The sequence below is a fragment of the Homo sapiens genome, chromosome X (assembly GCF_000001405.40).
Source record: "Homo sapiens chromosome X, GRCh38.p14 Primary Assembly".
Lineage (NCBI taxonomy): Eukaryota > Metazoa > Chordata > Mammalia > Primates > Hominidae > Homo > Homo sapiens.
The window spans coordinates 28,010,346-28,032,195 of NC_000023.11; the positions used below are offsets into that span (position 1 = coordinate 28,010,346).

General features: G+C 36.9%; 1 long non-coding RNA gene across 1 annotated transcript in view; it reads left to right on the forward strand.

The window, feature by feature from the left end:
* Positions 1-21,850, forward strand: part of LOC105373151 (uncharacterized) — a 67,568-nt gene that overhangs the window by 26,462 nt on the left and 19,256 nt on the right. Inside the window, exon 3 of the long non-coding RNA XR_950539.2 lies at positions 7,652-7,773. This is a non-coding gene — a long non-coding RNA (uncharacterized LOC105373151). The remainder of the gene's footprint in view (positions 1-7,651; positions 7,774-21,850) is intronic.

The following is a 21,850-nucleotide window of genomic DNA, read 5'->3' on the forward strand; positions in this document are numbered from 1 at the left end:
AAGTTAATATGTGTACTGTAGAAAACTGAAAATACAAGAAGCAAAGAACACAAATGTATCCATAATCAAAGCAGTTTACAGTTTAAAGTAAACTTCTAGTTCTCTGTGTGTTTGTGTGTATATATACACAGATAACATACATTTAGGTGGTTTACCAATTAAAAACCCCAAGGCCACGACTATTTTAACAACCAAAAATAGAATACACCAACTTAGTGAGGAGAAAAATACAATCCTCCCTTTCTCAAGCTCAAAAATTGTTTAAACAACAAAGATGACAAGCCTCTGGATTAAAAAATGTTGGCAGAATTATAATTAAAATACAGTTTGAGTGTTCCTAAGCACAAAATCCAAAATCTGAAATGCTCTCAAATCCAAAACTTTTTGAGTGCCAACATGACACCACAAGTGGAAAATTCCATACTGGACCTCATGTGAGTGTTATAAGCAAAATGCATACGCACGATATACACTTTCTTTAGCATCTCTAATGGAAAAACATAATTCCTCAGCCCCCCTCGGTTGCAATATATCTTTTCTGGGTATATCCAGAGTTCCCTCCTCAAGCACGCCCAAGAAGTTTAATGAAATGGCATGTATGCAGGCCAGACTCAACAACAGCAGTTTCTCCATGATGCCAGGCACAGGGCTAAAACCTACGTGCACTCTTCACTGTGCATTCTCTGTACTGTGGTGTAAATATATTATTGAAAGTGTCAAAAAGGCCTGCAGACACCCCTGTGGGTAACAGTGATAAGAAAAAGAGGAAGCATTTATGTTTATATATGTCACAGAAAGTCAAGCTGTTGGAGAAACTGGACAGCAGTGTGTGAAATGACTTACAGAAGAATATGGTGTTGAAATGACCACCTTATATAACCTGAAAAACAGAAAAATAAAATATTGAAGTTCTGTGCTGAGAGTGATGAACAGAAGTTAATTAAAAATAGAAAAACACTGCATAAAGCTAATAATGAAGATCCTGATCATGTACTGAAAGAGTGCATCTGTCAGTGTTGCAGTGAACATGAGCCACTTTAACAGTATGCCAATTATGAAACAAGCAAAGATCTACAATGAACTGAAAATTGAAGGGAACAGTGAATATTCAACAGGCTTGTTGCAGACATTTAAGATATACACAGCATTATATTTTTTAAATGTGGGATGATAAGGCATCTGCCGATCACAAAGCAGCAGAGAAATTCATTGATGAGTTTGCTAAGGTTATAGCTGAAGAAAATACAACACCAGAACAAGTCTATAATGCTGATGAAACATTATCGTTGGGGCATTACTGCCCTAGAAAGACACTGGCTACAGCTGATGAGACAGACAGCATAGGAATTAAGGATGCCAAGGATAGAGTAACTGTGCTGAGATGTGCTGATGCAGCAGGCACACCTACGTGTAAGCGTGCTGTCGTTGGCAAAAGCTTGCATCCTCGCTGTTTTCAAGAAATTAATTTCTTACCTATCCATTATCATACTAACAAACAGGCATAGATTACCAGGGAAATATTTTCTGATTGGTTTCATAAACATTTTCTACCAGCATCTCATGCTCCCTGCCGCAAAGCTGGACTGCGTGTCAATTGCAAGATGTTGTTATTCCTTGACAATTATTCTGCTTATCTTCCAGCTGAAATTCTTATGAAAAATTATGTCATGTACTTTCCCACAAATGTGACTTTATTAACTCAGCCATGTGATCAGGGTATCTTTAGATCAATGAAGGGTAAATATAAAAACACTTTCTTGAACAGCATGCTAGCAGCACTGAACAGAAGTGAGGGTGTGAAAGATTTTTCAAAAGGAATTTAGCATGAAGAATGCCTTATATGCTGTTGCTAATGCTTTTAATACAGTGACTAAAAACACAGTTGTTTTTATTCTAGCCTGCGACTATGTTCAGTAATGGTGATGAACAAGGTGGTGACTTCAAAGGATTCCAAATATCAAATTTTAAAAAGTGATGTCTGACTTCCTTACATATGCAAAAAGTATACCTTCAGAGTCCACAGTCCACCATTAAGGTGGAAGAAGTGGCTATTGAAGAAGTTTTTAACATCAATAATGTGGCTTCAGTTGTACATTTATTGAATCAAGGTGATCATGATCATGGAAATGATGAAGATGACATTGTCAAAAATTGCAGAAAAAGTGCCTATAGACAATATGGTGAAATGTCTGATTGTTTTATTGAAGGAATAGAGCAGTGTACATTCATAACAGACCAAGAAATCATGTCATTTTATAAAATCAAAGAGAAACCTCTGAGACAAAAAACATTCTTAAAGAGGCAGATGACTCTGGAGGGAATATTTTTAAAAGCCATCCAGCAGAATGCCTCCTCATCACTAGAGAACCCACTTCCTGGTCCCTCAACTGCTTCTGATGTTTCTTTGCACCTAAAAAATAAAATACAGCGTACAATATCCTTTTACTCAAAACACAGCATCACAGGTGGAGACTGAAAGCCTGCTGTTGTTGCTGTTGAACAGTTGATACAGGTATTCTGGTGTCGCTACTGTGCTGTTTAGTTACCCTGAACAAATTATTTTCCACTGTACCAATGGTATATGATATTTTTTTACTAAGTACTTATGCATGAATAAGTGTAAGCAAATAATTTCTTATCAGGAGCACATAAATACAGTCAAAAATAATTGTGATGCCAAACAACGCGATTTTCTACATGAGTGGTTGAGATAGCAACACCTTTACTTTCTGATTGTTCAATGTACACTAACTTTGTTCTATGCACAAAATTACCTAAAGTATTGTATAAAATTACTTCAGGCTATATGTATAATATGTATAGAAAACAGAAACAAATTTCATGTTTAGACTTGGATTCCATCCAGAAGAAATCTTATTTATATGCAAATTTGCCAAAATCTGAACAAAATCCAAAATCTGAAATGCTTTTTGTCCCTAGCACTTCGGATAAGGGATGCTCAACCTGTACTGCATTGTCTTAATGTTGAATTTAAAATGAGACACAAAGCAATGGAGTACAAGGGGTATAATGCTTCTAAAATAATTCATTATTGGGTCTATAATATTAAAATAATAGGTAAAAGATGTTTCCCTTGAATTTTCTTACAATGTATTCATAAGTCCAAAACTATACTTATGGTCAAAAGAAATGCATACATATATCCGTGGTTATATGTTATATACTTTTAACATATGTTATACATTTCTAACATCTATAAATACTACATGTTTCAAATTAGGACTTAAGTTTGTTCACTATACACACAACAGCACTGACTAAATCATATAGATGTAATAAACCTATAATCTGAAATTGTCCTCTAAATAAGGACAATTTGGCCTAGAAAGTTTCTTTTTCTCACTCCTTTTCACTTCTGTCCACTGAATGGACAAGTATAAGCATTTGTAATGCTAAGATGTGGTTTTAACAATTGTATTTCCCTAAGTTATTTTCAGAAGATGTTCTTGAATATGAAATTTAACAAGAATGAAGAAAAGCTTACTAACTCTACTTTTGTCATAACTGGCAGCCTCTTTAAATTCTAGAAAGACTAGGTGTAAAATCAAAACTGGTTAGTCCATTATAAACACCATAGACTAACAAAGTAAGACGACATATGCAGTACATAGAGGACAAGTGTTTGTCTAAAATGGTGCAATTATGAACACATTGTCACAAAGCCCTGAGTGCTGTCTTCTCCTCCCTCTTGCCAGACCAAGTGCATAAGCACAAAGAGTATTGCTCCAAGAGAAGGTTTAGCCATTTCCTTCCTCAAAGATAACATTTCACCTAAATTTCATATGAAAGTCTTATTTTACTACCACTAGTATAAATACATTGAACATTTCTGAACATTTAGAAAGTCTGCATATCTGAAATAAGAACTTATTTGTCCACTTATGCAGAGTGCCATTAAGCAAAACTCCACACACAAAATGATGCTTATGGTTTGAGGTGTCTCCTAATTGTTCCCATCCTGGTCTTCAACCATGTCCTCCTCACTTCACCCTCTTCACCATCAATTCAGTGGACAAGTATAGACAAGTGTATTGCTCCGAGGTGGTTGAAGAAATTTAAATTTATTTCCAAAAGTGTTTTACAGAAGACATGCTTTCCTGCGAGTTCCAATACAAAGTGTACAATGTTTTAGTTTTATTCATACAATTAAATAACTCATAGAATTCTTTATTTGAATGTGAATATGAATTTTATTGGTATTCTTTAATCTTTATTTGAATAAGAATAAAGAATTCAAAGAATTCTATGAATTCTTTAACATCTAGATAATAGAGTTTGCAAAATTGGGACTTATTTGTCCATTATGTACTTATAAATATGGTAAAACAAAATACTGCTCACAAAGGAAGTTTAGCTATTTCATTTCCAAAAGATATGATTTCATCTGAATTGTAACAAATATAATTAACGAAATGTGTTATTTTATTTCACTGTTTTTGACATGCTTTGTGCATCTAAGAACATGTAGGAAGACTAGATATTTCAAAGAAAAGTAATATTATTAACTGTATAACAAAAGGGGAACCAATGCACAAAGAAATGATAAATGTTTTAAGTGATGGATTTACTAATTACTCAGATTTGATTATGACACATTGTACACATGTATCAAAATATCACACTGTACCCCCATAAATATGTACAAGTATGTCAATGAAAAATAATAACAAAATAATTAAAATAACAAAAAGTAAGGGAAATGTTTTGAGGAGGGTGTGGGGGTTGGGGGAGAAAAAATGCATACACAGAATGAATTTGTTATAACGTGAAATATCCTCTAAATATGAACTCCTTTCTTTCTTTCTTCTCAAGGCCTTTTGCTCCACCTCCTCTAACCCATCAAACAAATGTGGTCATGTGTTGCTCCTGATATCCCTTTTAGTGGTTATATTTCCAGAAGTCATTTCCAGAAGATATTTATTTTTAAGTGTTTTTTAAAACAAAAGGTCACGTACAAGACCTGTGATTTTCTAACTCTACATTTTTACCATATATCAGCAACCTCTTTATTTCTAGAAGCCTAGATGTGGCAAAATGAGAATTTAAAGTTGTCTTTTAAAAGGTTGACAAAAATTGAGAGAAGTCTTTTTATAGTTATATGCGTTAAGCTTTTTATAAATGACCTGAGCATCTTTCAAAACGTTGTTGGGCACTCCCTGCTGACCAAATGAAGTACGTTGTTCTAGTTTTTTTCTCACCCACTCTCCAGGCCTGGCAGTAGGCCAACTGCCCACTTGCTGGCCACTGACCTCCCCCTGGCCTTGTCCATGCTCAGCTCATCTGCTTGGACCCAGCAAGGCCTGTTCTGTCATGGTCACAGCAAAGCAGGATCTATTTCACTTGGTGCAGGGAGGCTGCACCAGGTGCCTGGATCTGCATGTCTCCATGAAGCCAAGGTGGCTGAGCTCACATCCCTGTAAGCTTCTTCTCACACCTCTGATGCCCCTATTGTCCTCCACAGTATTCTGACATCTGACAGTTTCTTGGCACCACTGCAGTAACCAAATGGCTGGACAGAGTCAGGATTCTGGGTGGCCAGGATCAGTGAGGCCACCACCATGACAATCAGGTCATCAGCACATATAGCTGCCTTCAGGCCTGGCATGGTCTCCAGCGCCTGGGCAGACTAGTGCAAGCATCTCAGGTTCCAAGCGCAAGGGCAGGTTGGTGGCCCGAAGGTCCCCAAAACCCTAGTGTACTGGCATGCTGGTGGTCAGAAAAGCCCCTTGGGGCATCAGCATGAAGGAAGGAAGTGGCTGGAAGGGCCCCCTGGGGCTACAGTATGAGGTCCAGACAGAGGCTGGAAAGGACTTTGTTTCCACAGCACGTGAGCAGGTAGATGGCCAGAAGGGCCCGGGTTCCCCAGCGGATGGGCATGGTGGTGGCTAGAAACCCCAACAGGTTATACAATGATTGAAAGGGCCACTGGGTCCAGAGCTAAGCGGTGGGTCAGTGACTGGAAAAGACCCAGGGTCATCAGTATGTGGCATGCATGATTGCTAATAGGGCCTGAAGTTCTACAGACCACAGACAGGCTGCTGACCAGAAAGGACCCTGGGGTACTAGCGCCCAGGAAAAATGTTGGTTGGAAGGGCAACAAGGTCTGAACATATGGCTTCCCTGGTGGCTGGAAGGGACTCCGAGGCTCCAGCCGGCTGGACAGTTGGTTGCTGATAAGGCTGTAGGTTCCATACCACACAGGCAGGTTGGTGACTAGAAGGAAGGCCTGGTTGCCAGAACAGGAGAAGGATGGCCGCCAAAGCCCTTGGTTCTCTAACTTGTGGGCAGCTCAGTGGTAGAAAACTGAAACAGCCCAGTTACTTCAGTGTGGGATGGAAGGTGACTGGAAGGACCCAAGTTTACTCAACACATAGGCAGAGTGGTGACTGGAAAGTCATGTCCAGGGCAAGAAAAAGCATGTCTGGAAATTAATACAGAAAGACTTTAACCAGGACTATTGGAATGGGAAAAGGAGGACAGTTGCACTAGGGATATGCTCAAAGCCTAATGTAGAAACATCTCAGGGAAGGAGTAGGCAAGCAAAGCTTTTATATGCAGATACCATGGGATAGGTGGCTGTGGAAGGAGGAAGTGAGTGCTACAACTGCTAGCCAGAGGGCTTGAAATTACACAACTGTATAAAATATTGCAATAAGGAGCATGTTGAGGCAAGAAGTGTTTGTGTTTAAGCACAAGGCAAAGGTTTGGGACTGAGATGAGCAAAGCAGTTATAGTGCAGGATGTTCCCATAAAAATTAGCATCGAGCTGTCCTAGTCAAGTCAGTCTAGTTAAGTCAAGCACAAAGTTTCACCAATCTTGTCAGTACCTGCTCTTTTTCAAGACAGACTCAGCCAGAGACTGTTCTTGAACAACTCAAGGATAAGGGGAACCAGAAACAGGGAATAGCTAAGTGAAATAATCCTCAGGGTAAATGTTTTCTTGGTGGGGTTGTCCCTGTAGGACCAGTTGAACCATCTGTTGGGCCAGCTGGCAGAGCTCAGTTGTTTTAGGGTCTTGCAGTTGAGGCATCTTAAAAGAGTGATACCCAAAATGAAAATGATACGTGCTATTATAAAAGGTTATATGAAAGTAAACAGCCAGGAGTTGAGCACTAAGGGTATCCAGTTAAGCAAATTCCAAGAGGCTGATGGATGAAAATCTTTTGATTATGCAGCATTGCTCTTTGAGCTTCTGGTACTCTTGGTAATGTTGTTCACAGTATTTGTAACCTCACTTATAAGGACATGCATTGCATGATCATTCTACCAGACTTTCTTAGTGTCTCAGACACTTGTCCAGTGAGAAATCCTACCCATGCATAGTCTGCCAGTAATGAATCCTTTAAGGTATATATCAAGTTGTTTGGGCTTTAAGTAACAGTGCTCCTTCAGATCCTGGGGAAAAGGACAGCGATGGGTTTACTTGAAGTCCCTATAAGGATCTGGGTAGTCATGTTTTAGTTCTTGGTGATGCCAAGGTAAGAAGGAGGGAAAAAAATTGAAAATGTTACTTTGAAGTAATGTAACCAGATATTGAAAGAAACTGGAAGAATGGAAAATTTGGTATGGGTTGACAATTTAGAATCTAATCCAATTTATAGATAGGTAACAAAACTGTTTTCTCCCACAGTGGGAATAAAAGTCAATTGAATATCTACCAGACAAGATAGAATTTGCATATCCATCAGTTACAAAGAGGGAAGAAGTAGCTCAAAGACAATGAAAAGGACCAAAATCTGATAATCCATAAAGGTAGGCTGTAGTTTTTTTATTGTATATTTTTAAAGTGTGCAACATGATGTTTTGATATAGATGTACATAGTGAAGTAATTACTATAGTCAAATAAATTAACATCTGTATCTCACATAGTTCCCTTTCTTTTTTGTGTGGTAATAAGTACCTAAACTTTACTCTCTTAGCAAATTTCCAATATACCATACAATATATTAACTAAAGTCCTCATATTGTACATTAGCTCTCTAGGCTTATTCATCTCACATAAATGCAACTTTGTACCCTTTGACCTATGTCTCCCCATTTCCCCTACTCCCCCATTCCTGGTAACCATTTTTCTACTCCCTGTTTCTATATATTCAATTTGTTTGTTTTAGATTCCTCATTAATGAGAGATTGTGCGGTATTTTTCTTTCTCTGTCCTGCTTATTTCACTTAGCATAGTATCCTCTAGGTTCATCCATGTTGTCACAAATGGCAGAATATCCTTTTCTAGGGCTGAACAACCATATGAATATTATTCAGACTTAAAAAAGGATACTCTGCCATTTGTTCATAATCTTACGGAATTATGTATATATACACACCACTACTTTTTTATCCATTATATATCAACAGAAATTTAGGTTATTTGCATATCTTCATTATTGTGAATAATGCTGCAGTGAACAAAGAAGTGCAGATACATTTATAAAGTTGTGATTTGATCTCCTTTGAGTATATACTCAGAGGAGTGACTGTTGATTCATATGGCAATTCTCTTTCTAGATTTTTGAGAAACTTACATATTACATTCCAAAATGGATATAATAATTTACATTTCCACCAACAGTGTACTAGAGTTGACTTTTATTCCACACTCTTGCCAACACTTGCTGGCTCTTTTTTTTTTTTATAATAGTCATCTGTATTAGTCAGTTCTAGCATTGCTATAATTTATTTTTTTTAAAGAGGTTTAATTGGCTTACTGTTCTGCAGACTGTACAGGAAACGTGATGCTGGTATCTGCTTGGCTTCTGAGGAGGTCTCAGGAAACTTACAAACAGGGTGGAACGCAAAGCAGGAGCAAGCACCTCACATGGCTGGAGCAGGAGGAAGAGAAAGAGGGTGGAGGTGATACACATTTTTAAACAACCAGATCTCACAAGCACTCACTCACTATCATGAGAGTAGCATCAAGGGGCAAATCCACCCCCAGGATCCAATCACCTCTCACCAGGCCTAACCTCCAACATTAGGGATTACAATTGAACATGAGATTTGGGTGAGGTCACAGAGACAAGCAATATCACCATCTTAACAGGTTTAAGGTGATATCTCATTATGGTTTGATTTGCATCACTCTGATAATTAGCGATGTTGAGCACCTTCTCCCATACCTGTTGGTCATTTATGTTTCTTTTGGAGAAATAGCTATTCAGGTCTTTTTCCTATTTTTAAGTTGGGTTATGGGTTTTCTTTCTATTGGTTAGTATGAGTTCCTTTTATATTTTTAATATTAACCCCTTATCAGATACACAGTTTGCAAATGTTTTCTTTATTTTGTTGTTTTGTGGCGTGAAAATTCCAGTAATGTCAATCAAAAAAGTTTTATACAAAATATCTATAACATGATTAGCCTTCTTTTCAAAGAAGAGTGAATATCTCATTCATTAAAATGAATAAGCACAATCATTAAACAGAAAAAAATCTTCAGATGTGTAAGAATCCTGAGACATAACACACCATAAGTATATCAGGTATTTGGTTAGAATATACCAAGAGTGTATCAAGGATATCAAGTAAAGAGATTCAGTCAGTCTGGAGTAGGTCCTAAACAACAGTAAATGAAAACTCCACAGGTTAGTGATGTGAATCCCCAGTTGACAACCACTGGTCTAGAACATACTAGATTCAATATTAAGAGGTAAAATTGTGACCAAGTTAATGTTTTTAAAAATAATTAAACTTATCACTAATAACACTATACTGTTGTCTAATATTAGGTGAAATAACACCAGGACTCTGATAAATAGAAACATCATGGACAGCAAGGATGTGGAAAATTCTCTAGGAACTTCATATAATTTCTGAAATATTTATGTTAATAACATTTTACCCAATAAAGATTTAACCTGGGAAAGGCTAAATGTCTCTTCTGATTTTACAACCCTTCCTATGCAACTCACAACATTTCAAATAAACCTAATTATTTCTAGTATTTCCCTTTGAACAAGGTGAAAGAACAACTCCTTTGTGATTTTCCAGGGACCTTCTGGGATGCAAAGGAAGTTTTAGGTGCTAAAGATAACATTTAAGATCTAGTTTCAGGAAGATAAAATGCCAAAATTTGTCAGGAGGTTTGAACACTATATTAAATAAAATCATGGGTGAGTGGAAAACAATACTTGGTTACTTATTTAATCCAAATGACAATGAAAAATTTAAAAGTAAATATAGGAGGTAACATGATTGTAAAAAACCTTCATGCTTTCAAATGTGATATGAGGCTGGGCACAGTGGCTCATTGCTATAATCCCAACACTTTGGGAGGCAGAGGTGGGAGGATTGCTTGAGCCCAGGAGTTCTAGACCAGCCCGAGCAGAATAGCAAGACCCCATCTCTAATAAAAAATAAAATATAAAAAAAGAATAAAAGGAAAGAATGTGAGATGAATTTTTTCCTTAAATAATCAGGGACATGATAAAGTCAACACAAAGCATCAGAAATTACTCTGATAAGACACAGACTATTTAGCATCAAAGTAGAATACTCAGAAAGCAAAGAAAAACCTTTTACAACCTCTTAAGAGAAGACCAGTAGTTCAAGAAAATATTGTCATTTTAAGAAAGAAAAGCGAATTCCAGTTTTGTATCAGTACATTTGACACTAAAGTGCTTTCTAAATATTATAAATAAATGTATCAACCTTTGTTTTGACCACAGCAAAATTCCCTTTCTATGACTTTTTATAACTTTTTGTATCTATTCAGGTTTTATCCTATGCTTTTTTCTTTCCCATTCTGGAACAGTTTTTTGACTTAGGACAAAACTATTCTCTTTTTCTTAATACAAATATGTTCTGCCTACCTTGCATATGTACAGTATGTTGATTATAACTTTTACCATTGGTAATTCTGTTTTACAAATAAACTTGGAGGTGGATAACTGTGAACTGTCTGACATACATTGGCATTTTATAGCAAACTAGCAAAACTTCAAGATATACATGTAACAACTTTTTGTTGTTGTTGTTACACAAAAGATATAGTACTACATCCTTAAAGTACAATTTCTTAGTTTGGCAAAAATGAAAACATACATTAACAAATCCATATATATGTGCTTACAATTATTTATAATACTAGTTCAGTATTTTGTCTCATTTTTAATGATCTAGGTATGTAATAAATATTTATTAAATAATTTAGATAAGTCTAGGGTTTTCAGTTACCTAAACAGCTTGAAACTATCTTTTTTTTTATTTGTATAAATTTGAAGGTACAAATTTTGTTACATGGATGCATTGCATAGTGTAGTGGAGATGTCTGGGCTTTTAGTATGACCATCACCCTAATAATGTACACTGTACCCATTAAGTAATTTCTCATCCCACTTTCCTCTCCCTCCTCATCTTACAACAGTCAGAATGGCTACTATTAAAAAGCCACAAAATAATAGATGTCGGTGATAATTCAGAGAAAAGGAAACACTTATACATTGTTGGTGGTAATGTGAATTAGTACAACCTCTCTGGAAAACAGTATAGCGATTTTGCAAAGAATGAAAAATTTTTGAACACCTGAATAGAGATAGAATCCATATATTGTACAATTCAGCCCCCTAAGGGTATAATTCAACAGTTTTTATTAATATATTACTAATTAAAAAAATCATAAAATTTCCCTTTTAGCCATTTTTCAGTGTACAATTCACTATCATTAAGTGCATTCACAATGTTGTACAGCCATCATCATCCATTTGCAGAACTTTTTCATCATCCCAAATAAAAACTCTGTATCTAGTAAACAATAACTCTTCTTTCTATCCTCCCCATCCCCTGGGAACCTCAATTACACTTTCTTGGTCTATGAATTTGCCTATTGGAGGCACCTCATATAAATGGAATCACACAATATGTGTCCTTTTTTTTTTTTTTGGTCTTGCTTATTTCACTTAACACAATATTTTCTAGGTTCCTCCACGTTGCAGCATGTATCAGAAATTCATTCCTATTAATGGCTGAATAACATGTATGCATATACCATATTTTAACTGTTCATCTAGATGGACACTTAGATTTTTTCCTCATTTTTTTCTTTTGTGAATCATACGGCAAAGAACATCTAACAAGTATTGAACAGAACAAGTATCTGAGTATCTGCTATAATTTCTTGGGTTATACACCTAGGAATGGAATTGCTGGCTCATTAGTAATTCTATGTGCAGCTTTTTGAGGAATTGCCAAACCATTTTCCCTAGCAGTTGCATCATTTTACCTTCTCACCAGCAATATATGAGGGTTCCAACGTTTCCACATTCTTGCCAACACTCATTAGTTTCCATTTGTAATTTTTAAATATAGCTGTCTTAGAAGGTGTGAGATGGTATACCATTGTGGTTTTGATTTTCATTTCCCTAATGACTAATGTTGCACATATTTTCATGAGCCTATTAGCCATTTGTTTTTTTTTGAATAAATGTCTATGCAAATTTTTTACTGTGTTGTTTGTTTGTTTTAGAGTTGTAGATGTTCTTTATATATTGTGGATATTAAACCTTATCAGATCTATAGTTTCCAAATATGTTCTCCCATTATGTAGGTTGTTTTTCACACTCTTGATAGTGTACTTTGGTGCACCAAAGTTTTTAATTTGATGGAGTTCATTATCTGTTTTTCTCTTTTGTTACTCATGGTTTTGGTGTCATATCTAAGGATCCATTGCCAAATCCAAGGTCATAAAATTTATTTCTATATTCTCTTTTAAGAGCTTTATGGTATTAGCACTTATATTCAAGTTGTTGCTTTATTTTGAGTTAACATTTGTATATGGTGTGATGTAGAGGGGTCCAGCTTCATTCTTTAGAATGTGGAAATCCAGTTGTCCTAGCATCATCTGTTGAAAAGACGATTCTTCCCTTGTTGAATGAGTGTGTCACTCCTGTCAAAAGCAACTGGTATAGATGCATAGGTCAGTTTTTGAAATATGAATTCTGCCACATTGTCCTATATGTCTACCCTTATGGCAGTACCACCCTGTTTTGATCATTGTAGATTTGCAGTAAGTTTTGAAATTAGAAACAATGAGTCCTCCAACACTGTTTTTCAAAAATTTTTTGACTATGTGTATCTCTTGAAATTTTATATGAAGTCGAGGATTGGCATTTTGACTTCTGCAGAACCAAAGCTGTTTTTATAGGGATCTTTTATAGAGACTGTATGGAATCTGTAGATCGCTCTGAGTAGTACTGACATCTCAACAATATTCAGTCTCTCTATTCATGAATCCGGATGTCTTTCCATTTATTTAGGACATTTTTTGAGCAATGTTCTGTATTTTTCAGTGTACAGTTTTTACACCCCATTGATTAAATTTATTCCCATGTGTTTTATTATTTTAGATACTATTATAAATGAATTGATTTTAGTTTCCTTTTCAGATTTTTCATTGCTGGTGTGTGAAAATGCAAGTGAATCTTATGTTTTGATCTTGTACCCTGCAACTTTGCTGAATTTATTTATTAGGTGTAATAGTTTTCTTGTGGATTTGTGTTAGTCCGTTTTCAGACTGCTGTAAACACATACCTGAGACCGGGTAATTTATAAAGAAAAGAGTTTTAATTGACTCACAGTTCCGCATTGCTGGGGAGACCTCAGGAAACTAACAATCATGGCAGAAGGCAAAGGGGAAGCAAAGACTTTCTTCACATGCTGGCAGGAAAGAGAGATTGAGTGTGTGAGCACAGGAAAAACTACCATTTATAAAACCATCAGATCTCATGAGAATTCACTCACTATCATGAGAACAGCATTGGGGGTAACCGCCTCCATAATCCAATCACTTCCCACCAGGTATCTTCCTCAACACCCGGGGATTACAATTCAAGATGAGATTTGGGTGGGAACACAAAGCCTAACCATATCAGGATTCTTTAGGATTGTCTACATAAAGGATTATGTCATAAGCGAATACAGATAGTTTTGATTCTTCCTTTTCAATTTGGATGCCTTTTATTTCTGTTTCTTGTCTAAATTCTTTGGCTAGAAATTCCAGTAAAATGTTAAATAGCAATGGTGAAAGCAGATATCCTTGTCTTGTTTTTGAGCTTAGGGGAAAGCTTTCAGTCTTTAACCATTGAGTATGAAGCTAGCTGGTTTTTTTTTTTAAATAAACATACTTTATTATGTTGAAGAAATTCTCTTCTCTTCCTAGTTTTTTGCGAATTCTTATCATGAAGAATTGGTGAATTCTTTTCATGTCGATGGAGATGATTATGCATTTTCCCCTTTGTTCTATTAATCAGATGTATTAGATTAATTGATGTTCTTATGTTGAACCACTCTTGCATTTCTGGGTTAAATTCCACTTGGTCATGGTTTATAATCCTTTAAATGTGCTGTAAGAGACAACCTAGAATGGGAATGATATGGTTTGGCTGTGTCCCCACCCAAATCTTACCTTGCATTGTAATAATCTCCACGTGTCAAGGGTGGGGCCAGGTGGAGATAATTGAATCATGGGGGCAGTTTCCCCCATACTGTTCTTGTAGTAGTGAGTAAGTCTCATGAGATCTGATGGTTTTGTAAGTGGGAGTTGCCCTGCACTAGCCGTCTTGCCTGCCACCATGTAAGACGTGACTTTGTTCCTCATTTGCCTTCTGCCATGATTGTGAGGCCTCCCCAGCCACGTGGAACTGTGAGTCAATTAAACCTCTTCCCTTTATAAATTACCCAATCTCAGGTATGTCTGTATTACCAGCATGACAACAGACTAATAGAGGGAGAACAATTTTGAAAACTGTGCATCTGATAAAAGTCTAATATCCAGCATCTATAATATAAGGTATGTAAACAAATTTACAAGAAAAAACTAAACAACCCAATTAAATATTGGGCAAAGGACATGAACAGACACTTCTCAAAAAAAGACATTTATGTGGCCAACAAGCACATGAAAAAAAGCTTAACATCATTGATCATTAGAGAAATGCAAATCATAACCATAATGAGATACCATGTCATACCAGTCAGAATTGCTCTTATGAAAAAGTCAAAAAATAACAAATGCTGACGAGGTTATGGAGGAAATGGAATGCTTATACACTGTTGGTAGGACTGTAGATTAGTTCAAACATTTTGGAAGATAGTGTGGTGATTTCTCAAAAACCTAAAGACAGAAATATTATTTGACCCAGTACTCCCATTACTGAGTATATACCCAAATAAATATGAATTATTCTAGTATAAAGACATATGCACACGTATTTTCATTGCACCACTGTTCACAGTAACAAATACATGGAATCAACAAAAATGTCCATCAATGATAGACTGGATAAATAAAATGTGGTACATATATGCCATGGAAACCTATGCAGCCATAAAAAAGAATGAGATTATGTCCTTTGCAGGGTCATGGATGGAGCTAGAGGCCATTATCCTTAGCAAACTAACGCAGGAACAGAAAACTAAATATTGCATTATCTCACTTGTAAGTCGGAGCTAAATGATGAGAACACATGGACACATAGGGGGAACAACACCCACTGGGGCCCATTGGAGGGTGGAGGGTGGGAGGAGAATCAGGAAAAATAACTGATGGATACTAGGCTTAATACTTGGGTGATGAAATAATCGGTACAACAAACCCCCATGACGTTTACCTATGTAAGAAACCTACACATCCTGCACATGTAACTTTTATTTGAAAAGTTAAAAAAGTAAAAAAAATAAAAAGTGTGATGTCGAATTTGACTTGCTAGCATTTTGTTGAGACTTTTGCAGCTATATTCATAAGGGATGCTGGTCTGTAGTTTTCTTTTTTTGGTGATAACATTATCTCGTTTTGGTATCAAGGTAATGTCAGCCTCCTAGAGTGAATTAGAAAGTGCTCTCGCCGGGCGCTGTGGCTCATGCCTGTAATCCCAGCACTTTGGCAGGCCAAAGCCAGCAGATCATGAGGTCAGGAGCTCGAGACCAACCTGGCCAATATGGTGAAACCCCATCTCTACTAACAATACAAAAATTAGCCCGGCATGGTGGCGCGCGCCTGTAGTCCCAGCTACTCGGGAGGCTGAGGCAGAAGGATCTCTTGAACCCAGGAGATGGAGGTTGTAGTGAGCTGAGATTGCACCACTGCACTCCAGCCTGGGTGACAGAGTGAGACTCCGTCTCAAAAAAACAAAAAAAAAAGAAAAAAGAAAAAGTGTTCTGTCCTATTTTTGGAAGCTTTTTTTTCTTTAAGAGTGATGCAGCAACTTATTTTAACATAGCAATATTTACAATATGCCAAAATTTTGTCCTATTTGACTCTATTTAAACTTATGATGAAAAACGTAAAATGTCCATTTAAAATTGTCCCAAACAGTATACATGTACTCAAAATTACTTTAGGCAGAACAAATACATTTGAAGACTAGATTAGCTTTAATCTAATTCAAACTTTCAGAAACTGTAAGAACAGAAATCCAAAGTTCATACATTCATTCAAATGTTTACTGAGCACCTGATATGTGCCAGGCACTATTCAATATGCTAATGTTACAGCAGGAGACAAAGTAAAAATTCTACCTTATGGATTTATATTCTGATGAGGAGAGGCAAATAATAAGCAAGTATTCACGTAAATGTATAATATGTCATGTAATGAGTGCTACAGAGAAAAATAAAGCAAAAAAATATGCTGAAGGGTAATGGGGAGGATTGCAATTATATGTAGAGTGAAGAAGGAAATTTCAACCGCTAAGGTGACTTTTGAGCAGAGACATGAATGATGTCTGCAAGGGAGCCATGTGATTATCCTCTGTCCAGTTTGGGGGAGGAGAAGGGCATTTTACTCTGATTGAAAACAAAAGCCACTAAAGGATGGAGGCAGAAGAGTGTTCTTTTAACAAGATCCCTATAGACTAAGGGATGAGGGTACAAAAATGGGTTTAGTTAAATAATTTTTGTTTAAACTAGCAACTTTAAAGGGCAAAAGGTTTTCAATTTAGGTTTATAGAAAATGAAAATTTACTTATTGTCCATTAAATATAAGGCAGTGAGTTACTTCTAATCCAATTTATTATACAGCTAAATATTTACAAGTTTTAGATTTTTATTTTCAAGGATGAAAACTTTGGTTAGCTCCTATTATTAATATTTCTGCCTTCAATTGCTTAGCCCTGAGTATAGCCAATGAAATGTAAGCAATGCACACATGAGGAGTACCAGGCTATAGCAGTTACTATTATATAATTCCAGGAACAATGCCTAGGATGTTTCAAAAATCAAATTTAAATCTTAAAAGAAGGCAGAATAAACCAGTAAAGTGGTTTTAAACTTGTTTTTTAATAGCAGAATCCTTCAAGTAAATCTAAAATGGAACTCCACAGCTACAAGAGGTATTTTACTAATATGCATTTATTGCATAGAATCAGATTCATAATTTTTACTAATATAAAGTAGATAAATAAGAATAATCTGTTCTGATGAAACATAAACACTTTCAATTAGTTGTCAGTGTTATGTCAACCTCAGCATCCAACGTATTTCTGTATTTTGTCTTACATATACAGTATTGAGAAAATTCAAATTCAAGGAGATCAGAAACTATCTTATTATATCTTATTAAGCTACCTTATTATATACATTTTAAGTTAAGGCTACTCATTGCTTAAATGATTCCAGTTGCTTGAAAGAAAAGTTAAAAAATGGTTTTTCAAAAGTTTATTGTTACAGTATTTAACTGCATATATTATTTAAGGGGTGATTATTCAATCTAAGAAAATAGATTTTGGAAGCTTTTGAGAAAGATTGGTGTTAATTCTTCTTTAAATCTTTGGCTGAATTCACCAGTGAAGCCATCTGGTCCTGGATTTTCCTTTGTTGGTAGATTTTCAATTACTGATTAGATCTCTTTACTTGGTATAGATCGGTCAAGATGTCTGTTTCTTCTTCAGTCAATTTAGGTAACTTGTGGATTTCTAAGAGTTTGTCCACTTCATCTAGGTTATCTAATTTATTGGGATGCAATTGTTCATAATAGTACTCTCTTATAATCCCTTTTTTCTCAGTGGTCATTAGTAATGCTCCCACTTTCCTTTCTGATTTTAGTTATTTCCATCTTCTCTCTTTTTTCTTTGTCAGTCTGGTTAAAGGATTGTCAATTTTGTAGATCTTTTCAAAGAATCGACTATTATTTTCATTTATTCTTTATATTGTTTTTCTATCATGTTTAATTTATTTCTGCTCTAATCTTTATTATTTCCTTCATTGTCCTAGCTTTGGTTTTAGTTTTCTTTTTCTAGTTTCTCAAGGTGTAAAGTCAGGTTATTGATTTGATATTTTTCTTCTTTTTTATTAGTAGACTTAATTTCTAGACCACATTTAAGTTTATAGATAAATGGAGAAGAAACTACAGAGTTCCTACTGCTTCCCCATCCCATACACACAGTTTTCTCTATTATCAATATCTTCTATTATTGTTGCACATTTGTTTCCATTGATGAGTCAATATGGATACATTATTATTAACTATAGTCCACTGTCTGCATTAGGGCTCCCTCTTGGTGTTATGCATTCTATGGGATTTCACATATGTATAATGACATGTATCCACCATTACAGTTGTTTAAATGTCATATATACATATATAGAAAGGGTCTCACTATGTTTTTCAGACTGGTCTTGAACTTTTGGCCTCAGGTGATCCTCCCACCTCAGCCTCCCAAAGCACTGGGATTACAGGTATGAACCACCACACACAGCCACCAATACAGAATAGTTTCACTGTCCTAAAAATCCCTTATTCTCCACCTCTTCATCCCTACTTCCCTTTCTCTGAGCCCTTGGCAACCACTAATCTGTTCATTGTCTGCATAGTTTTGCCTTTTCCCAAATGTCAAATCTCTGCTATTATACAGCATGTAGCCTTATTTCACTTACCAATATGCATTTAAGGCTTCTCTGTGCCTTTTCAGGACTTGATAGCTCATATTATTTGTATTGCTGAATAATATTCCATTGTATGGATGTACCATGGTTTGTTTATTCATACACCTATTGAAGGGCATTTTGGTTGCTTCCAAGTTTTGTCAATTGTGAATTAAGCTGCTAGAAACATTTGTGTGCAGGTTATTGCGTGGATATAAGTTTTCAGTTCATTTGGGTAGATACCAATAAGGAAAATTCCTGGATTGTATTATAAAAGTATGTTTAGTTTTCTAAGAAACTGTCAAACTGTCATCCAAAGTGGCTGTACCATTTTGCATACCCACCAGCAATGAATTAAAGTTATTGCTTCATATCCTTTCCAGCAACTGATGTCAGCGCTTTGGATTTTAGCCATTCTAATAAGTGTGCAGTGGTAACTTGTTTAAATTTGCAGTTCCGTAATGACATATGATGATGAGCATCTTTTAATATGTTAATTATTTAACACTTCCTTGGCGAGGTGTCTGTTCATATCATTTGCCTATTTTTTAAACTTGGATGTTTGCTTTCTTAATGTTGGGTTTTAAGAGTTCTTTGTGTGATTTGGATACTGGTCTTTTATCAAAAATGTTTTTTTGCAAAAATTTTCTCCTAGTCTGTGGCTTGTCTTTTCATTCTCTTAACAGTGTCTTTTACAGAGCACTTTTAAATTTTAATGAAATCCAACTTATCCATTTTTTCTTCCATGACTCATGCTTTTGCTGTTGTATCTTAAAAGTCATTGCCAAAACCAAGGTTACCTAGATTCTGTACTATGCTATCTTCTAGGAGTTTTTATATGTTTTGTGTTTTACATTTATCTCTTTGATCTATGATCAAATGTGCTCCAGTTGACACAGCAGGCAATAGGCTGATGGCACAAAAAAAAAAAAAAAGAAAAAAACACTCCTTGGATTAGCAGCATGCCAGCAGTGTATAGCAGGAAGAAGGCCAGAACCCTCCTAATGGAAAGTCTGGTGCCTGAAATGTTCCCTGGAGCACTAATTTGTTGAACAGTAGCCAAATGTCTCTTGATTTATTCACTTGTAAGGCAGACTGAGGTCCAAAAGACCCTATGGTACCCCTAGGAGAGGCCAGTACTGTGACCTAAAATGCTGTCATTTCTACTACCCATGGATAGTCTGGTGGCCAAAGAACCCTAGGTTCTCCAGACAGAGGATGGGCTGGGGACAGGCAGAGATACCCCAACCCTACATTTTGAGGAAAAACTGGTGGCCTGAAGTTTTCCCGACACACAAGCACTCTGGAGGTAGAGTGGCCGAAAGGGTTTCCAAGGCACCACTGTGCTGGGATTTCCAACAGGTCCCTAATTCCATAGTAATGGATCTAGTGCCCATAAGGTCTCACTGGAATCTAATGTGTGGGCAGTCTGGTCTCCGAAAAGGTCCATGGGGGCATAAATACAAGGGGAGAATGTGTCTGGAAGTTCTCCAGGGTACCAGCGCACTGTCCAACACATGTCTAGAAGAGCCCCAGAGTCCTAGAGGTAGGGGTGTACTCAGTGCCCAACAGATTCTAGGCTTCACAACCTATAGAGAAGGTTGTGGTCCAAAAGCTATCGCAGTTGCCCAGCGTGCAGACAGGGTGGGGACCATGAAGACCCAGAGGCCCTTAAAGACCAAGCCATCTGGTGTTCAGAAAGTTCCCGGGGACAGAATTTATGGGAAAGTCAGTGACCAAAGAGTTCCAGTTGCCATTACAGATGGGCTAGCTGAGGGCTAAGAGGGTCATTGGTTCCCTGGAGCCATGCCTGTGGGGAAGAGAAGGGTTTTCCTTTCCACATCATATGTGCAGGCTAATTGCTGAAGAACCTTTGGTTTCCAGGCACACAGGATGATTCTGGGCCAGAAGGAACTCCAGAACCCTAGCAAGCGGGCATGCTGATGGTCAGGTATTTTCACAGGTCCTCTCGATAGGAGAAGGGTGGACACTTGGTGGAAAAAAGGGCCCAGAGTACTCCTGCAGTGACCTGTACTGTGACCCAACATGACCCAGTTTCAACAACAGGCTTGCAAAATGATGACTGGTGAAAACTCAGGCCCTTGGCATGCTTGTGTATTGTGTGCCAGAAGGAAATCCAGAAATGTCTAGAGCTGAAAGGGCCTTCATGACACTACTGTGTTAGGAGTACAGGGCCAAAATGGGCACCAGTATGCTGGAAGTATGGTTCTCAAAAAGGCTGTACATTCCACCACACAGGGTCTGACTACTGTTAACCACCCACAGAACTCCAGTGCATGGGCAGTCTGGTCACCAAAAGGGCTTACTGGGCAGCAGTGCCAGGGCAGATGGTGTCCAAAAGTATGATCTTAGGCACCAGTGAGGTGACAGGCTCATGTCGGGAAGAGTCCTGGACCTTGAAAGGGTACATTAGACCCAGGCGGAAAGACCTGGTCCTGCTGACAGTCTAGTAGGAGGAACGCAGGTTCCATCACATAAAAGAGCTAGAGATGAATGGAGAAAGAAAATGTAATGTGGTACTTATAGACAATGGAGTACTATTCAGCCATAAAAAGAATGAGTTTCTTTTGCAAGTCATTTGCAACAACATGAATGGAACTGGAGATCATTATGTTGAGTGAAATAAGCCAGGCACAGAAAGACAAACATCTGATGTTCTCAGTTATTTGCAGAATCTAAAAATCAAAGTAATTGAACTCATGGACATAGAGAGCAGATTGATGGTTACCAGAGGCTGGGGGTGGTAGTTGTGGGCTGGGGTGAGGTGGGGTTGGCTAACGGTTACAGAAAAAAAGAGAAAGAATAAATAAGACCTTCTATTTGATAGCACAATAGAGTGACTATAGTCAACAATAATTTAATTGTACATCTTAAAATAACTTAAAGAGTGTAATTGGATTGTTTGTAACTCAAAGGATAAATGTGTGAGGGGATGGATATCCCATTCCCCATGTTGTGCAT